General features: G+C 38.7%; 1 protein-coding gene across 4 annotated transcripts in view; it reads left to right on the top strand.

Moving 5' to 3' along the window:
• SNTB1 (syntrophin beta 1) overlaps positions 1–18,295 on the top strand; it is a 276,291-nt gene that overhangs the window by 96,173 nt on the left and 161,823 nt on the right. The gene's annotated exons all lie outside the window — the stretch shown is intronic.

The following is an 18,295-nucleotide window of genomic DNA, read 5'->3' as shown; positions in this document are numbered from 1 at the left end:
GTTTGGCTTTTTTACTAACCTTCACTCGGATTACTTTCTCAAAACAGTCTCTCCACTGCTGTGTGAGTGGGACGGCATCACGAATAAAGGGCGCACTCAATAAATGAAACAAGGAGGGGGAAAAAAAGGAAAGGAGAAGAATACCACCTCTTCTAATTGCCTGTCACTTTAACCTCTGGCAATTGGACCCTTTGGTCTGTGCTAAGTAACTGTCTCAGTGTTGACATCACATGAAATCGTCACAGAAACTTTATCGAGTCTCCCACCCTTTCACCCACTTTGTTTGTTTATAATACCTTCTAGGCATCCTCTTTTATTTATTGCTTCTTTCAAAGAGACCTTTAAATTATGAAACCCAAGTTTGTTTTTTTTGTTTTTAACCATTTATGCTCCCCAGATAAACAACTCATGTGATGTCAACTAAAATTTGCTATCGTTTTCTGGGCTCTGTTGAGTAACCAGCCTCACTTTTTGATGAGAACCAAGAAACCTGAGCATTGTATAAAAATAAAATATAAATTCCACTGAAATACAAGCAAGTTATCCTTCATTCACAGGTAGGCTAATGAACCAAATTTCCTTCTTCTCTCACAAGGATACTGTGAGCTTAATGAGACCAAAAAACGCATGTTTTGACTTTCACTCATTTAGGCTAAATTTGCTTTGGACAAGTGAATGGGTTAAAGTCAAGACTGAATGACCTGGAATGCATCTTTTTGAAGGAAATGGAGCTGTGCATGTAGAGGAGAATGAAAATAAGGGGAAGTTACAAGACAAAGGTTGGCTATAACTTCTACAGTTGTGTATTGAAAGGGAATTCGACTGTGATGGAGATTTATGTCTTTTAGATAAATGAAATTTCTCCAATTTGTGCTATTATGTAGCTCGTCTTTTCACAGAAATCCAAGACTACTGACAGATCAAGAGGTTTCACATTTCAGATCCTTTCAGCATTCAGCAAATGCAATAAATATCAGAGGTGGCCTGTGTTGAATGTAAGAACAGATGTTGTTTCTGCAGGAAGCAGGATGGAAACTTACACCCACTGGCTTGCTGCAACTTTGAGGAGACTTTCTTCTATACCTTCCTCTAAATGTGACTTGAAACCTTCCGCCGTGATATTTTAATAAACTTTCTATATCTTGATATTTCCTTTAAGGGTATCATTCTTGCCCAAGTTACCACCTTGACAAGAGACTGTCTCCATAGCCCATCTGTTAGTTCAATTAACAGGCTTCTGAGATTTTTGCTTGGGGACTCAGCATTTATATTTATATCTCATCCTCTAGAGTAATTCTTGCAAATAATCTTTGGGAATGGTGCCTGCTTCCTGTCTAGATTTGAAGATCCTGCTTCTAATGAAGAATGTTTTTGCCAGAAAAAAAAAAAAGGACTTTATATATCTCCATGATTCCATTTCTTTCTGGAGTATGGATTTATTTTTTGTGGCCAAATCACCTTCTGTGAAATGGAGTATTTGTATCCTACTCATGAGGGCCAGCCTCAAGTTCTCTTGGGAAAACTGAATTTCACAGCTGGCTGGAATTGTCACCACAAGTTTTGACTGTTTCTGAAGACAGCATTATGGATGGCTTGCACGCACTGCTTTCTTAAATGTAATCTAACAGAGGAGGGGTTCTGTCTCTGTGGTGGGCAAAAGAGAGTGTTTCAGAAATACAGGTGGAAGGCACTCTTGGTGTCTGTGCTGAGCAGAAAAATAAATTCTGGTCTGGTAGACTAAATCCAACTCAGCTTGACCAAACAAGCCAAATTTACATGTTTCTGGTATGGGATGACCTTAAACATACAAAGAATGTGATATGGCAGACACTAATTAATGAACCCCTTACTCCAAATACACTCTAGCCTATGACAGTCTTAGATATTCCTCTTCCTGGCTCTAACACTCTCTTGTTCCTGGGCTTCCTCTTTTAAATAATAATTGTGAGTATTTTTATAGAGCCCTTTACAGGTAATAATGTACATTATCTCTTTTAATGCCTACATCCAATTATTATTAATGGGAATGAACTGTAATTACACACCACAACATAAGTGAATCTTAAACATGTTACACAGTGTGAAAGAAGCAGCCAGACATACACAAAAAAGTACATATTGTATGATTCAATTTTTTTCTTTTTGAGATGGAGTCTCTCTCTGTTGCCCAGGCTGGAGTGCAGTGGCACAGTCTTGGCTCACTGCAAGCTTCGCCTCCCAGGTTCAAGCGATTCTTCTGCCTCAGCCTCCCAAGTAGCTGGGACTACAGGCACATGCCACTGTGCCCAGCTAATTTTTGTATTTTTAGTAGAGATGGGGTTTCACCATATTGGCCAGGCTGGTCTTGAACTCCTGACCTCGCAATCCACCCACCTTGACCTCCCAAAGTCCTGGGATTACAGGCATGAGCCACCATGCCCAGCCTGTATGATTCAATTTATAGAAAAATATAGAAAAAGCAAATCAGAAAACAGATCAGCAGCTACTTTTCTGCGGGGTGGGGGTGACTGAAAAGGTGCATGAGGGTAATGTCTAGACAGATGAAAATGAAACCTATGAAATGCATGTAATATGTGTTCATCCAGACTGAAAGATGCATGTAAGGTCTGAGTACTTCACTCTGTGAAGTTTTAGATTATGCCTGAATTTTTAAAAATATTCTATCAGGTGTATCTATAGATGAGGAGGCTGAACTTTAGAAAGATGAAATGAGTTGTCCATTCTCATGCAGCTGAAAGAGAACTGAACCTCAACCCAGATGATCGTAACTCTTTAGCTCAGGTTTTTCCACTCTAAAACAATTTCCAAGAATGACAATATTTATATTACTCCACTATGGAGTCAATGCATTTTAGATGCTTTTCTTCCTGGGAATAGAGATGGGTCTCTGAAACCACATGACGGGGTACTGGCAATAGTAACGAGGAGAAGACGGTGTCACAGGTGTGCGGCATGTGTAATGGGTAATGCTAGGGCTGGATCATAAAGCCTGACTTCAGATTCCCGCTCTGCCACTTACTGTGCAGCATAAGAAGTTGGGTGAGTCTACCTGCCTGAGATTCAGCTTCTTCATATGGAAAATAAACTGTAGTGAGGCATAAATCTGATCATTCATGGACAGTTCATAGTTGCCTATGAACTATCACTGAATGAGTGCTATGATGCTTCTTCACAGTTTTGGTTAAAGGGTAAATAAAAGCCCCTGTGGTATTAATAAGTTTACCATGTTATTACAGTGGCTTACAATGTGACATTTTCGTCTGCACTGAGCTTTTCTAAGTTGCTACATAATTAATTTATCATCATATAAAAAATGCATATAAAATTAGGACTTAATAGTGCTTCTATCCTTGACCTCCTTGTTTGGTAACAGGAATTGTTGAAAAATTTAGGATGGTGTGTACCTCATTCACTATATGAATAATGTCATATATTTCTTCTTTTTTTTTTTTTTTTTTTGAGATGGAGTCTCACACTGTCACCAGGGCTGGAGTGCAGTGGTGTGATCTCGGCTCACTGCAAGCTGCGCCTCCCAGGTTCATGCCATTCTCCTGCCTCAGCCTCCTGAGTAGCCGGGACTACAGGCACCCGCCACCACGCCTGGCTAATTTTTTTATATTTTTAGTAGAGATGGGGTTTCACCGTGTTAGCCAGGATGGTCTCGATCTCCTGACCTCATTGATCCGCCTGGCTTATCCTCCCAAAGTGCTGGGATTACAGGCGTGAGCCACCACGCCGGGCCTGTCATATATTTCTAAGTTCTGAAAGAAAATTTATTCCAAGTGTAATTCACTTATAAATCTACAATTCCATGAATTCTCAGTGTGATTCACTGAAGTATGTCTTAATGTTTGTAAATGATTGCAAACTTGGAAGGAAGCATTTCTTGGAAGTAATTAGAATATTATAGTGTGTATAATGTGGGTGGACTTTCTTAAAGCAGAAGCTTCCATTTAAAACATATTTGAATATTACTAAGGATTTAAAAAAGAAAAGAAAATGAATGTTTTCTTTTTTATATTGACAAACAATATATACTACTCTAAAGATAAAAGTTTGTTTTTTGGGTTCTGCTCCTGTTATAATTGATAGCATGTTAGACTACAAGTACTTTATTATGTTTTAGGGTCCTCAGAGCCTGCTTGAATCAGAAATCCTGCATGACTTGTAGGCTTGTCTAATGAGGTCATATACTTAAATATGAATTATCCGTTGAACAGAAAAGAAAAAGGAGTGAAGAGTTTAGACTCTGACAGAAAGTAAAACACTTGTATTTTTTCATGGAGAAATATGTTGAATTCTTTGGTGCAAAACACCTGACGGCCTGCACAGCTACTGTTTGTTTACACAGTAAACAGTCTTGCATGGAGGGAAGCGAGGAGGCCCAGGACAATGGATAATAAGAGTGTTCATCTGTAACACACAGCCAGGATTTCCCATTTAGCTAACCTAGAGCTTTGATCTCAGGGAGCTGTGAGGCCTTGAAATGTGGAGTATACTTTACCTTAGGGCAACACAATTTAGAGTGTATAAAGATTTTTTTTAATGATTTTTTAAATTATGTAATATTTAAAGGTGTTATTTACATTGAAATACTTCAAGTCCACTTTCAACCTGGAGGAAACTTAAGTTTCATACCTAGATTCAGTTAACCATATCACCATTTAAACAACAAAATGAATCATGAAGTGATTTGAGATTTTTTCAGGCTACTTGTCCCAGGCTTGTTAAAACTCTCGTTTTGTTTCCTGCCAGTGAATACCTGGGTTTCAATGTTCTACCACAGACAACACCAAAAAGTAGGGTTTTGTTTTGTTTTGGTTTTTGGTTTTTGCACAAGCCAAAAAGATTTTGTTCTGGATTCTTCTCCAAGTGCAGGTCAATATGCCCTAAAATATTTTCTGGTGATTGTTTTGAGATTCATATCAGTACCCAGGAAGAGTTGCGTTTTAACACATTTCAGAATGTGTGTTAAATATCCTTTAATATTTTTTATTGTTTTAGTCTATTTGTACTGCTGTAACAGAATACCAGAGCCTGGGTAATTTATAAAGAAAAAAAAATTTATTTCTTATGGTTCTGGAGGCTGGGAAGTCCAAGACTGAGCCAGCAATAGGTTTGGTGTCTGGGGAGGATCTCATTCCCTGCTGTCAAGAGAGCACCTTGCTTTGTCCTCCAGAGGGAATGAATGCTGTGTTCTCACATGGCAGAAGGCAGAAGGGCAAAAAGGGCCTAAGCTAGTTCCCTCCTGCCCTTTGGTAAGGCACTAATCCATTCATGAGGGCAGAACCCTCGTGACCTAATCACTTCCCAAAAGGTTCCACCTCAATACTATCATAATGAGGATGAAATTTCAACATGAATTTTGGAGGGGACGCATTCTAACCACAGCAAGTGTTACCTAATTTAATAGCAAATTTGTGCGTTACATGTTAACAGGCCCTGTGAGGCTTAGAGAGGTCAGGAAATGTTCCTCATAGCCATTTGTGCAGCTATCAGCCACATAAGCTGGATTGATCTGACTCAAAGTCTGTGATCTTTTAGCTCAACTATACTGGTACTCAAATAAGCCAATAAGCTTCCTGTTGTTTAGTTTGAGTTTTCCCTTCACAACACCCACAACCTCCGCCCCCTTCTTCCCTGCTCCAAGATTAGATCAGGGAACATAGATAGTGTTTTAGAATAGGAGGAAGGGTTTAAGTCATCTGTTCAGTTCAACATCTATTTCCCTTTTGAGCTTTGATGTCTGCCTTTTGCCCTTTTGCTTGCCCCTGGGCTGTCTGCGGAAACGGAGGGGGGATAGTGAGGATATGGATAACTTGGAACATAAGAAAATGGCTCTAGGGTGTTACATACCTGCTATCTCCCTCTGTCCTTGTTCTCTAGTTTGCTTCTGGGAGGTTTGCCTTGGGCAGAAAGGGTAAAGGGAACTACTATTTATGGCATACCTTTTTTTTTTTAAATACCAGACACTTTACATATATCATCTGGTAAAATATACACAACAACCCCATGCTTTTAGTATTATTTTCTTCTTTTTCAAGAGAAGAAATCTCAGGCTTAGAGAACTGTAGCAAGTTGTCCAGATCTCAAGGCTCTTTGGGGAGAAAAGATTCTAAATCAGATCTGATTCCAAAAGGCAGACTTTCCCAACACAGTGGGAAAGAGGAAAAGCTTTGGAATCAGGCTTGAATCACAACTTTGAGGCTGTAGGGTCTTAGGTAAGTTATTTGACTTCTGTGTCTTCATCTGTAAACTGTTAATGATAACAGTATGATCTCACAAGGTGGTTGTGAAAATTAAAAGATGTAATCTATGTAAAACCCTGGACATTTAGTTAGTGCTCAATAAGTGCTAACCATTACAATTGTCATGAAACATCTCCTTCCACTGGAACTGAGATGAACCTCTGACCATTTCTCAAAGCTTCAGACTCATAATTCTGCTGTCTGTTGACCTTTATCTCTTCATGGATGTTCTGTCCACAGCTCAAACCTCACATCTCCAAAACTGAAATAGTTCACTCTCATCCCAGAAGCCTGTATTTCTTCCCATATTTTCTATCCTTTTTAATGGAATTAATTAACCAAGGTAGTTTCCCTGATTTTATAGAATAGGAAATTTAAGAACACTAGAGGATTAAATGATTTGCTAACAACTACTCAGAAAATTAGGACCCCAGCCATGATGGAAATTCAGGTATAACAAGTTCTAGGTGCTTTATCCTACACTTTCTTGCCTTCCTCCTTCCCTCCCTCTCTTTCTCCCTCCCTCCTTCCTTTCCTCCCTTCCTTCCATTTTTTCACTCTCTCACTTATTCATTCATGCATTCATTTGTTTAACATTTTTAACCTTCCAATCCTTATACATTGAATTGCTTCTTCTTGTCATTTAGCACAGCTTAGGACTTCCAGTGCAACATTATATAGAGGGGTAATGGGAGGGTATTGTTAATTCCATCCTGATTTTCAAGGAGATGCTTACAGCATTTCCTTATTCAGAATGCTTGATGTCAATTTGGTTTTATTTCTAGTGGATAGTCTTTAGGAAGTTAAGGAAGTTACCTTCTATTTCTGGTTTACTAAGGGCTTCTTTTGTTTCCTATAACTGTCTATTAAAGTTTATAAAATATAAAATGTATTTTCCTCACTTAAGTAGTCATATACTTTTCTCCTTTTATCTGTTAATATATTGAATGCCAATAATACATTTTCTAATATTGAATCAATCTTGGATTATTCACCAGTCCAAACTTGGTCATGCTGTACTACTGTCTTCTATATATATTGTTGGACTTGGTTTACTGACATTTTGTTTGGCATTTGGGATTTATGTTTATATTTAGGAAAATGGATGGGCAATTTTCCTTTTAAAAATTTTCCATGACTTCTTTTGTTATTAAAGTTATATTAGCTTCGTGGAATAATTTGGGGAGACTCTTTTTGTGTCTAGTCTCTGGAATAGTTTGATTAAGATTTGAATGAGCTGTTCTTTAACGATTTGGTAGAATTCACTAATAAGCTCTGGTTCTAGTATTTTCTTTTTAAAAATTTTCTTTAAAATTAAAGAATAAATTTTAAAATTATTTTTAAAGAATTTTCCCATTCCTTTAAGAGTTACAAGACTAACCATGCTCTCTATTTTCTTAGGTCAGTTTTGTTAAGTTTATTTTTTTCTAGGAATTTGTGCACTCCAGGTTTTCAAACTTATTACCATAAAACTGTCAAAAGTATTCTTTTATGTTTTAGAGATTATTTATTATTTTAATATATATTATATCTGATGTCATTTCCCCTTTTGTTTATAATACAAATTTTATGTCAATTTTTTTATTTTCATCAAATGTGACAGTTTGTATGTTTTTTTAGGATTTCCTATATGACCTTTAGATTTTTTCTTATGGCACATGTGGAATATTTTGATAACATCAATTCTGATGTAATTGTCACAGAGTATGTTTATTAATTTAGTCCCCTTTTCCAATATCCATAGATTTTCCCAGCATCAGTAGCAATTCATTGCTCATTAACTGCAATAATCTAGCTCATGTCTTCATGTTACTTGAAGTAGATGTATTATTACATCTGTGATTATGGTGAAAGGGATTTTCAAATTAGATTTATAAGATGTGGGATCAAATTCCAGGTCTGGTGCTTGGAATATCTATTGCAGTAAGATATTTAAACTCTATGAACCTCGATTTGCCTACCTTTTTATTGTTAAATTTTTCTATGGGTTTATTTATTGAAAGAGTTGTATCCATTCACTGATGCTCACCATCATTCCTTTCCTACCTTTTTAAAAAACAACAAAGGCCCAACTATCTTGACTGGTATGCCTCAAGTGAACCTTCTAGAGGTTTAGCCTTAAATCTTGTGAGGTTTTATTCTTCTGACTCTGATAGAACCTTAAAGCTTGCTTAGGCCTTTCCTCTGTCATCCTGATGTAATTCTTAGGAATTACTCTCCTGAGAGAGTATGAAGCAAGGCCAAGCTAAGTTTGGCCTCTTGAAGAAAATCCAGTGCAGAAGCGCAGTGAAGTCCCATTGAGCTGAGTCCTAAAGGCATTAGTTCTACGGAGCAAGATGTGTTTGTGTGTGCACATATGTTTGGGGGAGGAGGTAAAATTTGATGGGGAAAGTTGTTAGGCTTTCACTCTCTGGGTCATGGAAGTCTCAAAAAAATAGATGCATAGTCAGATTCTAAAAGGCCCTGCAACTTATGCATATTTCAGATGAGGGTGACAATAAGCATGCAATGAGGCTGTGTGCAAGGAGGTGCTATAAAGCACTTTCAAAATAGGAGGTATCCATAGCATTGTCTAGTCTGCCAGACTCTGATGTTTCAAAGAACCCGTCACCATCTACCTTACCTTCAGATGCCTCTACAAGTACTTTAGATTTGCAGCATATTCGGAGTAAGGTGGAAAAATGTCATTCCTTTCCTGACTCTACCCTTGGTAATGATATTTAGTTTACTTAATGTGGTTTCCTTTGGAAAAGCTTTATGACTCTGGGCTTCTGTCACTGAAAAATAACTGCAAATTTACTGAGCCCCAAGTTTGATTTGCAGGATGTTATTATGAAGCTACACCTGGAATAATAGAGTTTTATCTTCCAGAGATACCTGTAAGGGGCAAGAGAGAGACACACTTCCTGCTTTTGACGTAAAGTTTCATTCACATGTGATCTTCTGTCTAGCAAAGAGTAAAAACAATATTTGGAGTTGAGCATTCAGACATCCTTTCTGCCTGTTACTCACTTCCTGTCTTCAGATGTTAGAGTATAGCTGTTAAAATAGTTACTTTATTTTCCCAGGGAAGAGAAATTATTATTATTTTTGGTGGTGAGGGCAAATTGCTGGCAAATTAATCCAGGTCCTCTCAGTACTTATTAATATCTGATGAATAAACTTTAGACTACTTTTCGTGTGTATTGAATCATATTCTGTAGAAATTTTGGTATTTTAGGTTTCTATGCCTTTTCTGCCTGGCATGATTATAAAATTCTCAGAAGCAGTAACTCGTATATCCGGTTGATTATCTATCCTGCAATGTCTAGTCCCACACAATGCACAGAGTAAGTGCTTAATTTATGCGCAAGAAATGAATGAAAGAAATGATATTTTCAAGCACTTTTTATTTTGACAGTTCTGAGAGTCCGAAAAGAGACATCCTTGCAATGCATTTTCTCACTGAAATTTCATAGCAACAATAACAGCAATGACATAATAGTAATATTTAAATTTGAGTGATAAGCTTGTGCTAGATGCTGTTCTAAGGGCTTTGTATACATTTTTTGAAATTATTTAATCCTTGTAACAATCCTAAGAGATAGGTGCTGTTATTATTAGGTAAGGAAACTGAGGCACAGAGGTTACATACCTTCTTAAAGAAGTCCACCTTGTAAATGGAAGATTTGGGATTCCAACCCAGATGCTCTGACTCTAGAGCTCATATTTTAAACCACTACATTGTATTGCCTATCTAAGGAAGACATTGTTTTCCGCATTATACAGATGAGGATTCTAAGACCCAGATAGCTTAACAGATTGTCTCATTGTCACACTACTAATATGTAGCTAATAAGCATATAATAATGAAGAAATGTACAGCACAATTTTATGCTTGGTAATGTATCTGTGAATCGATCTCACTATATTGGAGTCTTTGGATTAGGCATCTCAATTAACCACATTCCAGAAATCACAGAATATGGCAACTTGAAGAGATTTTAGAAACAATCTACTCTTCCACAAAGTAGAATTATTTTCTGCAATGTGACTGGGAGATAGCTCATCCAGTTTCTGCTTGAAACGTCACTAGCATAGGGAAGTCACCACCTCCCAGTCTTTTCTTATATTGAACCCAAATCTTACCCCTGTTGATTGTATTCACTGATCATGGCTGTATTCTGCAGACATACACAAAGTGAAGTTAACCAAATCCCCAGTTATTAAGTCCTGTACATTGTTTTTCTAGGTTGAATAACTTCTAATAATTGTAGTGTACCTTTCAGTGTTTACTATCCCGTTTCTTGTAGATTTTTACTTACATTGATTCAGTGAATCCTCACAACAGTTCTATGAGTGAGTGAAAGAACAAGCATTTGGGGAAACCAAGTAATTTGCTCATGACCACAGAGCTAGGCAATAGAAGAGCTTGGAATTGGACCCCAGGGTCAGACTCCAAAGTTTATGCACGTCACTCTTTTGTGCTAATGTCTGTCATTTAATGTATGGTTTAATTATTTCCTGAGCCTTTCAACAAGCTGATCATTTGCTTTACCCTCATTTAAACATCGTCTAACCTGTTAGAACTTCAGGTATAGGCTGATCGAGGAGGCAAAGAGAAGGACTTCTCTCTCCTTTTCTGAACGGCATACTTCTATCAGTGGAGCCTAATATCCTATTACTTTCTTATGGGAATCATAGCCATGAAAATCCCTAGAATCTGTATTCTTATCAACAGCTTTTAACACAGTTCTCCCTGTCCTACATGTTACAGAGATTTTTATTTTGAATATGCAATGACAGAACTTTCTACTTTATCCCTATTATATTTCATCTTTTTATTTAGTGCCTGTGTGAAACTCTTAAAATCTCAATTTTGTCATCATAAGCATTAGGTGTCCCTCCTAGAAGCTATCTAGTAAGTTGAAGTAATAAAACCAACACCTATTATGTACCTCATCTATTAGATTCAGCCATCGCCACCTTCAGGCTTTGAAGGAGTGTGGGCCAGCTGCTTTGTAATATCTGGATGTCAAATGAGCAAGATCTCGGTAGTTCCAGCCTCTTTTTACCCTGGCTTATCTTTTTTCTTTATGAAAACACAAACACTGATATTTTATCAGTTTATGAGATGATGAAAAGAAAACACTGCAGATTAAACGTTTTTTGTTTTTTCTCTTTTTTTTTTGACACAAAGTCTCGTTCTTTTGCACAGGCTGGAGTGCAGTGGCATGATCATAGCTCACTGCAGCCTCAACTTACTGAGCTCAAGTGATCCTCCTGCTTCAGCCTCCTGAGCAGGTAGGGCTACAGGTGTGCACCACCATGCCTGGATAATTTTTTAATTTTTATTTTTGTAGAAATGAGGTCATGCTGTATTGCTCAGGCTAGTCACTAACTCCTGGCCTCAAGCAATTCTCCCACCTCATACTCCCAAAGTTCAGGAATTACAGGTGTGAGCCACCATGCTCAGCCAAAAGATGTTTTTAGAAACATGACTTCGAAAATTTTTGTCGTTGTACAAACAGGTTTCAGACATGAACATTTGCATATGTTTAGAGGCAGCATCCAGGATGCAAGAAAAAAGCATGGTAAAGTGATTGGAAGTTGAGGCTGTAGAGCTAGACACCCTCGATTCAAATCTCAGCACTGCCAATTGCTACTGTGTGACTGTGGGCAAGTCACTTCAGTTCTCCATGCCACAATTTTCTTTCTTATAAGGTAGGCGTAATAGTATGCCTACTTCATAGAATTGCTCCCTAATGAGCATACTTTACACATTTAGAGCCAGGTTCAACACGTGGTAAGTAATCAATAATTGCTAGTTGTTGTTATTGTTTTAAAGCTGGAGTTGGCAGACTACAGCCCGTGGGTCCACCCTGGCCTTCTGCCTGTTTTTGTGAATGAAGTGTTGTTGGAATGCTGCCAGACTGGTGTATTTGTATACAGCCTGTGACCTCTTTGTGCAACGATGGCAAAATGAAGTTATGACAGAGACTCTAAGGTCCACAAAGCCCTCAGCATTTTTTCTCTGGCTTTTTAAGGAAAAATCTTGCCTACCTCCATTTTACAGGATAGAGTGCAGGGTTCCTGACCCTCATCTGTGACTCTTTGGTCTTGTAACCTTAGGCAAGTGACTGATACTCTCTGGCCTCTGCTACTTGATCTGTAATAAAGATTGGTTATGAGACTGCTCCTAGAGAACAACTCTGAGAAACTGGCCACACACGGTGGCTCATGCCTGTAATCCCAGCACTTTGGGAGGCCAAGGCGGATGGATCACTTGAGGTCAGGAGTTCGAGACCAGCCTGGCCAACATGGTGCAACCTCGTATCTACTAAAAATACAAAAATCAGCCAGGTGTGGTGCTGCGCACCTATAATCCCAGCTACTCAGGAGACTGAGGCAGGAGAATCGCTTGAACCCAGGAGGCGGAGGTTGCAGTGAGCCAAGATCATGCCACTGCACTCCAGCCTGGGCGACAAAGCCAGACTCCATCTCTCAAAAAAAATTAAAAAATATGAGAAACTATGTTGTGGAGATTCTATTTGTTGTTCATTTGCTCACAATTCCATGTTTTGTAGCCAGACAGTTGTGCTAATTGCATGTCCCTGAGTTTTTATTTTTTCTGACAGTAATGAGTACTTTCTATGTACTAAACACTCTTCCAAGCCCTTTGTGTGTATTAAGTCATTTAATCCTCATAACCTTATAACAATTCTCTGAGGTAAGAATGGCTATGCATCCTCATTTTTCACATGGAAAAGTGAAGGTATCAAAAGGGTAAGGAAATTTTCCCAAGCTTACATAGTTGGCAGGTGACAGAGCTGGGATGTGAACTGTATAGTCTGGCTCCGGAGTCCAGAGTTTGTAAAGTAGTCATTCAACTTTGAGGACCTTATGGTTTTACTAGAAAGACTTATTATGCAAACAATTGCATATAAATATAAGGGTTCTTTTAAATATTTGTAAGCTGATCAGCCCAGTGCCTGGCGTGGAATAAGCCATCATCACGATGTTTATGGTCCTGATGCTGTTGATATCAGTGGAAGCTGCTACAAAGCACAGCTGGTGTTTAAGGGAGGCATGCCTGAGGTGTCAGGAGCACTTTGAAAAGGAGGTCTTACCCAGCATGAGGTTTAAAGGATGTAGGGAGTTTTCCAGAAAGGTTTCCACGTGGAGGAAACCACATGTGCAAAGAACAGAGGCAGGAGAGAACATGGCATGTTCAGCGAATTAAACAGTACTTCTCTGTGGCTTGCATGTGAACTGTGCAGAACAAGTCAGCTAAGATTAGGTCAGGAAGTAGGCAGGTGCCAGATGGTGAGTGGCTCTGTGTGAAAGGGGACGGGCTCCTGTCCTCTAGTGCATGTCACTTTCTGAGCAATGCCCTATATTGTCTGCTTGTTTAATGTCTCCACCCTGTGCCGCAACAGGCACATGTGTACTGGAATGCAAGCACCTTAAGGGTAGGGAGCCAGTCGGTCTTATTCACTGTGACTATTCCAATACTCAGGGCCCTCCCTACAGAAAGAGCTCATTAAACATTTGTTGAATTAATTAATAACTAAACCAATCAGTGTGCTCTGGATGGATAGGATTACTCATGAGATAGGATACTTTCTGTGGGTCCATTGCCTTACTTTGGCATCAATTATCTTGCTTTGTTGAAGAATCAAGGTAGGTCACATTGAATGAGTGGATTAGTCTAAAATAGGACAATTTTGAGATAATCTTTTCTTTGGAGGCGGAAGATTACTTAACAAATTCATACCTAGTTTATTTTACTCTCAACTCCACATTTTAAAACTCAATCCCCTCTCCAAGAACGTCCTATGACTTCTTCAGAACATTTTGGCCATCCTTCAAATGCTTCTTCCCTTCCAGATGTATTTATGCCAGGATTCAGCTGGCAGAATGGAAGTAAAATAAATATTGGTAACTGAATGAAAATAATGATTCTTCTAGATAATGCTGCCAAACCTAAGAAAAAGTAACTTGAGAACATAATCTCAATGTGGGCTTATATTCCTATTTGTCAGGTGCCTGTAGGTTTTGGTTAAAAAGTGAGAAGACACATCTGCTTAAGGCCTCTGTCTAGAATGTGGCACACATTTGAACAGGGCTATTTCTTGGTGATGACATAAGTAGCAAGATGAGGTAAAACACATTCTTTTTTTAATGTTGTCAGAAAAGGCAGCTTCCCAAGGAATCAGAGAATGTTTGAAGGGTAGGGACCTTATTTCCCTCCTTTGACAGGCGAAGAAAATGAGATCCAGGCAAGGGAAGTGACTTGCCCAGGGCTGGAGAGCTAGTTAGTGGCAGAGCTGGAACTGTAATCCAGGTCTCAGACTCCCAGGGCCAATTCTCCTTCCTCTGCATCATTCAGCCTCTCGAGACATTAGCTATAACTTCTGAGAAACATAGTACCTCTTTCATCATTTCTTGGTCTTTTTGAAAATATTGATGATCTCTCTCTGCATCTTTCCTCCCTAAGATGACCTGGGAAAATGCCATTGAGGGTAAATCTTATATTGCATTTTGTTGGCAATTCCCACTGTCACCAACCTGTCCCCAGCTTGAACATTTCACCAGAAGTCTGAATACCCAGGTTTCTTGCCTCCAGCTAATCCCCTTTCTCCTTAATCACATTTTTAAAACTCCACATTTGTGTTTACATCCTCTAAAGCAATGAATTTTTTTTCCTTCCTGTAATCTGGAAATTCTTTTTTTGTTGTTGTGTTTGTTGTTATTTTTAAGAAAACTTGAACACATCAGACGGACTTTCCGGCTCCTTAGAAACCAGTCTGGTAGGAGAGTTGATTGGATTTGCCTAAAGCATTTCCTCATTAGTAGCCTGTGTGCTTTTTCTTTCAAATGTCATCTGGCCAACCCAACAAAGATTTAGTTGTGGCAACTTGGAGCCTTAGCAAATTTGTACTTTACTGAATGCTCTTTTGGAATATTCACAACTGCCTGTCCTTCAAATGAAAAACACAAACATATTGAAAGTGGCTTGGTGGATTATTGGTTTGAAGAGCACCTCTGACTCCTCTCCGCCCCTTTTCTTACAACTGAAGATTGGAATTTTAATTTCTAAAGCACAGCTTTTAAATCATGATGCCCAAAAAGGACATGGTTTATTAATTAGTTCTGATTACTAGGCACCCTGAACCTGGGCCTGGCTGCTTCAAATCAGTTTCAACAGCTCTTTGCCTGAAATTACTGCCGGTAAGCACATGGAAGTATAATTATGCAGACACTAGTGGTTCAGTTCTGCCAGGTTAAACCCTCTATTATGAATACATATTATAGTGTCTTAAAAGGCATTTATTGAAATGCCATAGTTTAATAGTTCAAGCTTACAAAATCAAACTCTCTCATGTTACAGGCAATAGCCTCTTAATTGGATGTTTTCTCACAGCACATAAAAATATTGACTTAAATACACGCACACACACACAAACACACACACACACACACACACGCAATTTTTTTTCAGAGCGAGAATCAGTATTGCTTCCTGGTTGAACCTAAGGACTGTAGAGCCAGTCTACCCGGATTCACCTCATGCTTCTGCCATTTTCCAACACTGACTTTGGGCGAATGACCAAAGGGGGATGATTATAATGCCTATATTGTTGTGAGGTTCAAATGAGTTAGTACACAAAAAACACTTGGCAAAGTATATGGAACATAGTCATGTTTTTTTAATTGATTGTTCTAACACATTTCTTTGTATTTATGTGTTGTAAAATCTATTTATGCTAAGTCCTGAGAGAATAAGTCCTGAGAGAATTCCTCTGTTGTCTCCAGATATTTATTCTCTTCATTTTCCCCAGTAATAGCCACCTCTCCCTACCATTTTTAGCTAGGTGGACATAGAGCTGTCAAGAATAAAGAAAAAATTTATTTTCCACCTAGAAGTGGCCATGTGAGTAAGTTCTGGCCAATGGGTTGTGTGTTAATCCATTTTGCATCGCTATAAAGGAATACCTGGGCTTGGGTAATTTATAAAGGAAAGAGGTTTAATTGGCTCACGGTGCTGCAGGCTGGACAGGAAGCATGGCGCCACCATCTGCTTGGCTTCTGGTGATGCCCCAGGGAGCTTTTACTCATGGTGGAAAGCAAAGGGAGAGCAGCACATCATATGGCAAGAATGGGACAAAGGGAGAGAGAAGGGGGAGGTCCCAGACTCTTTTAAACAACCAGATCTCAAGTGAACCAACTGGGTGAGAACTCACTCATTACCAAGGGGATGGCGCTAAGCCATTCATGAGGGATCTGTCCTCATGATCCAATACCTCCACTAGGCCCACCTCTAACAATGGAGATTACATTTCAACATGAGATTTGGAGGGGCTAAATATTCAAACCATATCAGGTTGTAAGCAGAAATAGCGTGTCAATATCTGAAAAGTGGCCTTAAAGCAAGAAGGATGGTGTGTTTTTCACTTCTTCGTCTTTCCTACTAATGGGAATTTGGTTGTGATGGCTGGAACTCAGCAGCCATATTGGATCATTAGACAGCACACCAGGGATACAGAGCAGTCAGGAAGCAGAAGCCTGAGTCCCTGACAACTTCAGGGAGCAGAGCTGCCCTAGCAGCCCTTTTCTTTCACTCTAGACTTTTGACAAATGAATAACAAACTCCTGTATTGCTTAATACACTAATGTTGGCTGCCTATTATAGATAAATCTATTCTTAGGCAACACCTTCCCTTCCCTGAATTAGATGATATCCTAACTATTTTGATTGCCAGGTATAGAAATTTCAGGACACTAATGAACAGAGAACCATGAAGTTTTCACACACTCTATTTCCAATTAGAGCCACTGCTTTACCACACCCAAGCATGGCTACCCTGCTTTCACTCCCTGCCTGGGGCTGCTTAGTCTCAGACCTCAACTGGTGATTGGGGACAGGAGTGCTTGGCAGTACAATTATGTCTACAATTGATAGCCAAGCCTTGTAAAAATGACTTGGAGTCTCTTCCAGCAAGAAGGACCATCTTGACCATTTTATTACTTCCTCTGTACCAGAAATTATGGGTTCTTGAAGAAATCCAATGGCAATCTTCTTTTGCTTTTTTTTTTATTATACACAATAACAAACTTCTTCATTTTCTATACATATCAAAAAAAATCAGGACTCCTGGATGGACAAAGGGATTTTAAGAACGGATGTGTGGATGTTACTTATTCTCCCTCAGGATAGATATGAAAAAAACTACCAGAACCTCAGTATATCTTCCTTAGGGACAGTGACGATAGTCTTTTAGCCTCATTTAATTCCTTGAAATTGAAAATTTATTTTCTGGAGATTTCAAGACTCATTTAGGGATTTTGCTAAGATTTCCTCCCAATACTAGTGAAAAGCAGAGGTGATATCTAAAGCTCTCAGAAGAAACACAGAAAAACCTAAGCCATTACCCCATCCAAAGTATAAAGAAGAATCATACCTTATTTCTATTTTTCTTGGTGGTGAAGTTCACAGGCATTGTTCAGCAAAGCCAAATTAGGTTTCTTGAATTTTTGGGTTGGTGTCTTGGCATCGGGAAAATTCTTCGGCTCTGCCATATTCGCTATACCTTACCTTTCCAAGGGCCCAGTTAAACATATTTAGATTTTCTTACTTTATCCTTCACATCTGTTCATCTCTATCCCATATTTTCCATCTTTTTGTATATTTGTGCTACATTCTGTAAAATTTCTTATCTACAGCTCCCTAATTCCTTCTTCTGACATGTCTATCTATGGAAGTTTCAATTCTGGTAATATTACTAAACATTCTGTTTGGTTCTTTTTATCACTATGTTAAATCACTTTTAAAGAATTTGTGGAAGATTCTCTCAAGGTTTCATTTGTCTCTGTAAACATACTATAGCTTTGTAGTATGCGTGAGACTTACTGCCCTTAGTGCTGGTTCTTGCACATGGTACGTTGTTTCCTTGTATGCAACATTTCCTTTGATTTTTATGCCTGCTCATTGCATTTTAAAATGATTCATGGGGATTCTTTGAAGCTTAGGATGAAGTTGCCTTCCTCCAGAAAGGACTTGCATT

The sequence above is a fragment of the Homo sapiens genome, chromosome 8 (assembly GCF_000001405.40).
Source record: "Homo sapiens chromosome 8, GRCh38.p14 Primary Assembly".
Lineage (NCBI taxonomy): Eukaryota > Metazoa > Chordata > Mammalia > Primates > Hominidae > Homo > Homo sapiens.
This window is presented reverse-complemented; position numbering and strand designations above follow the sequence as displayed.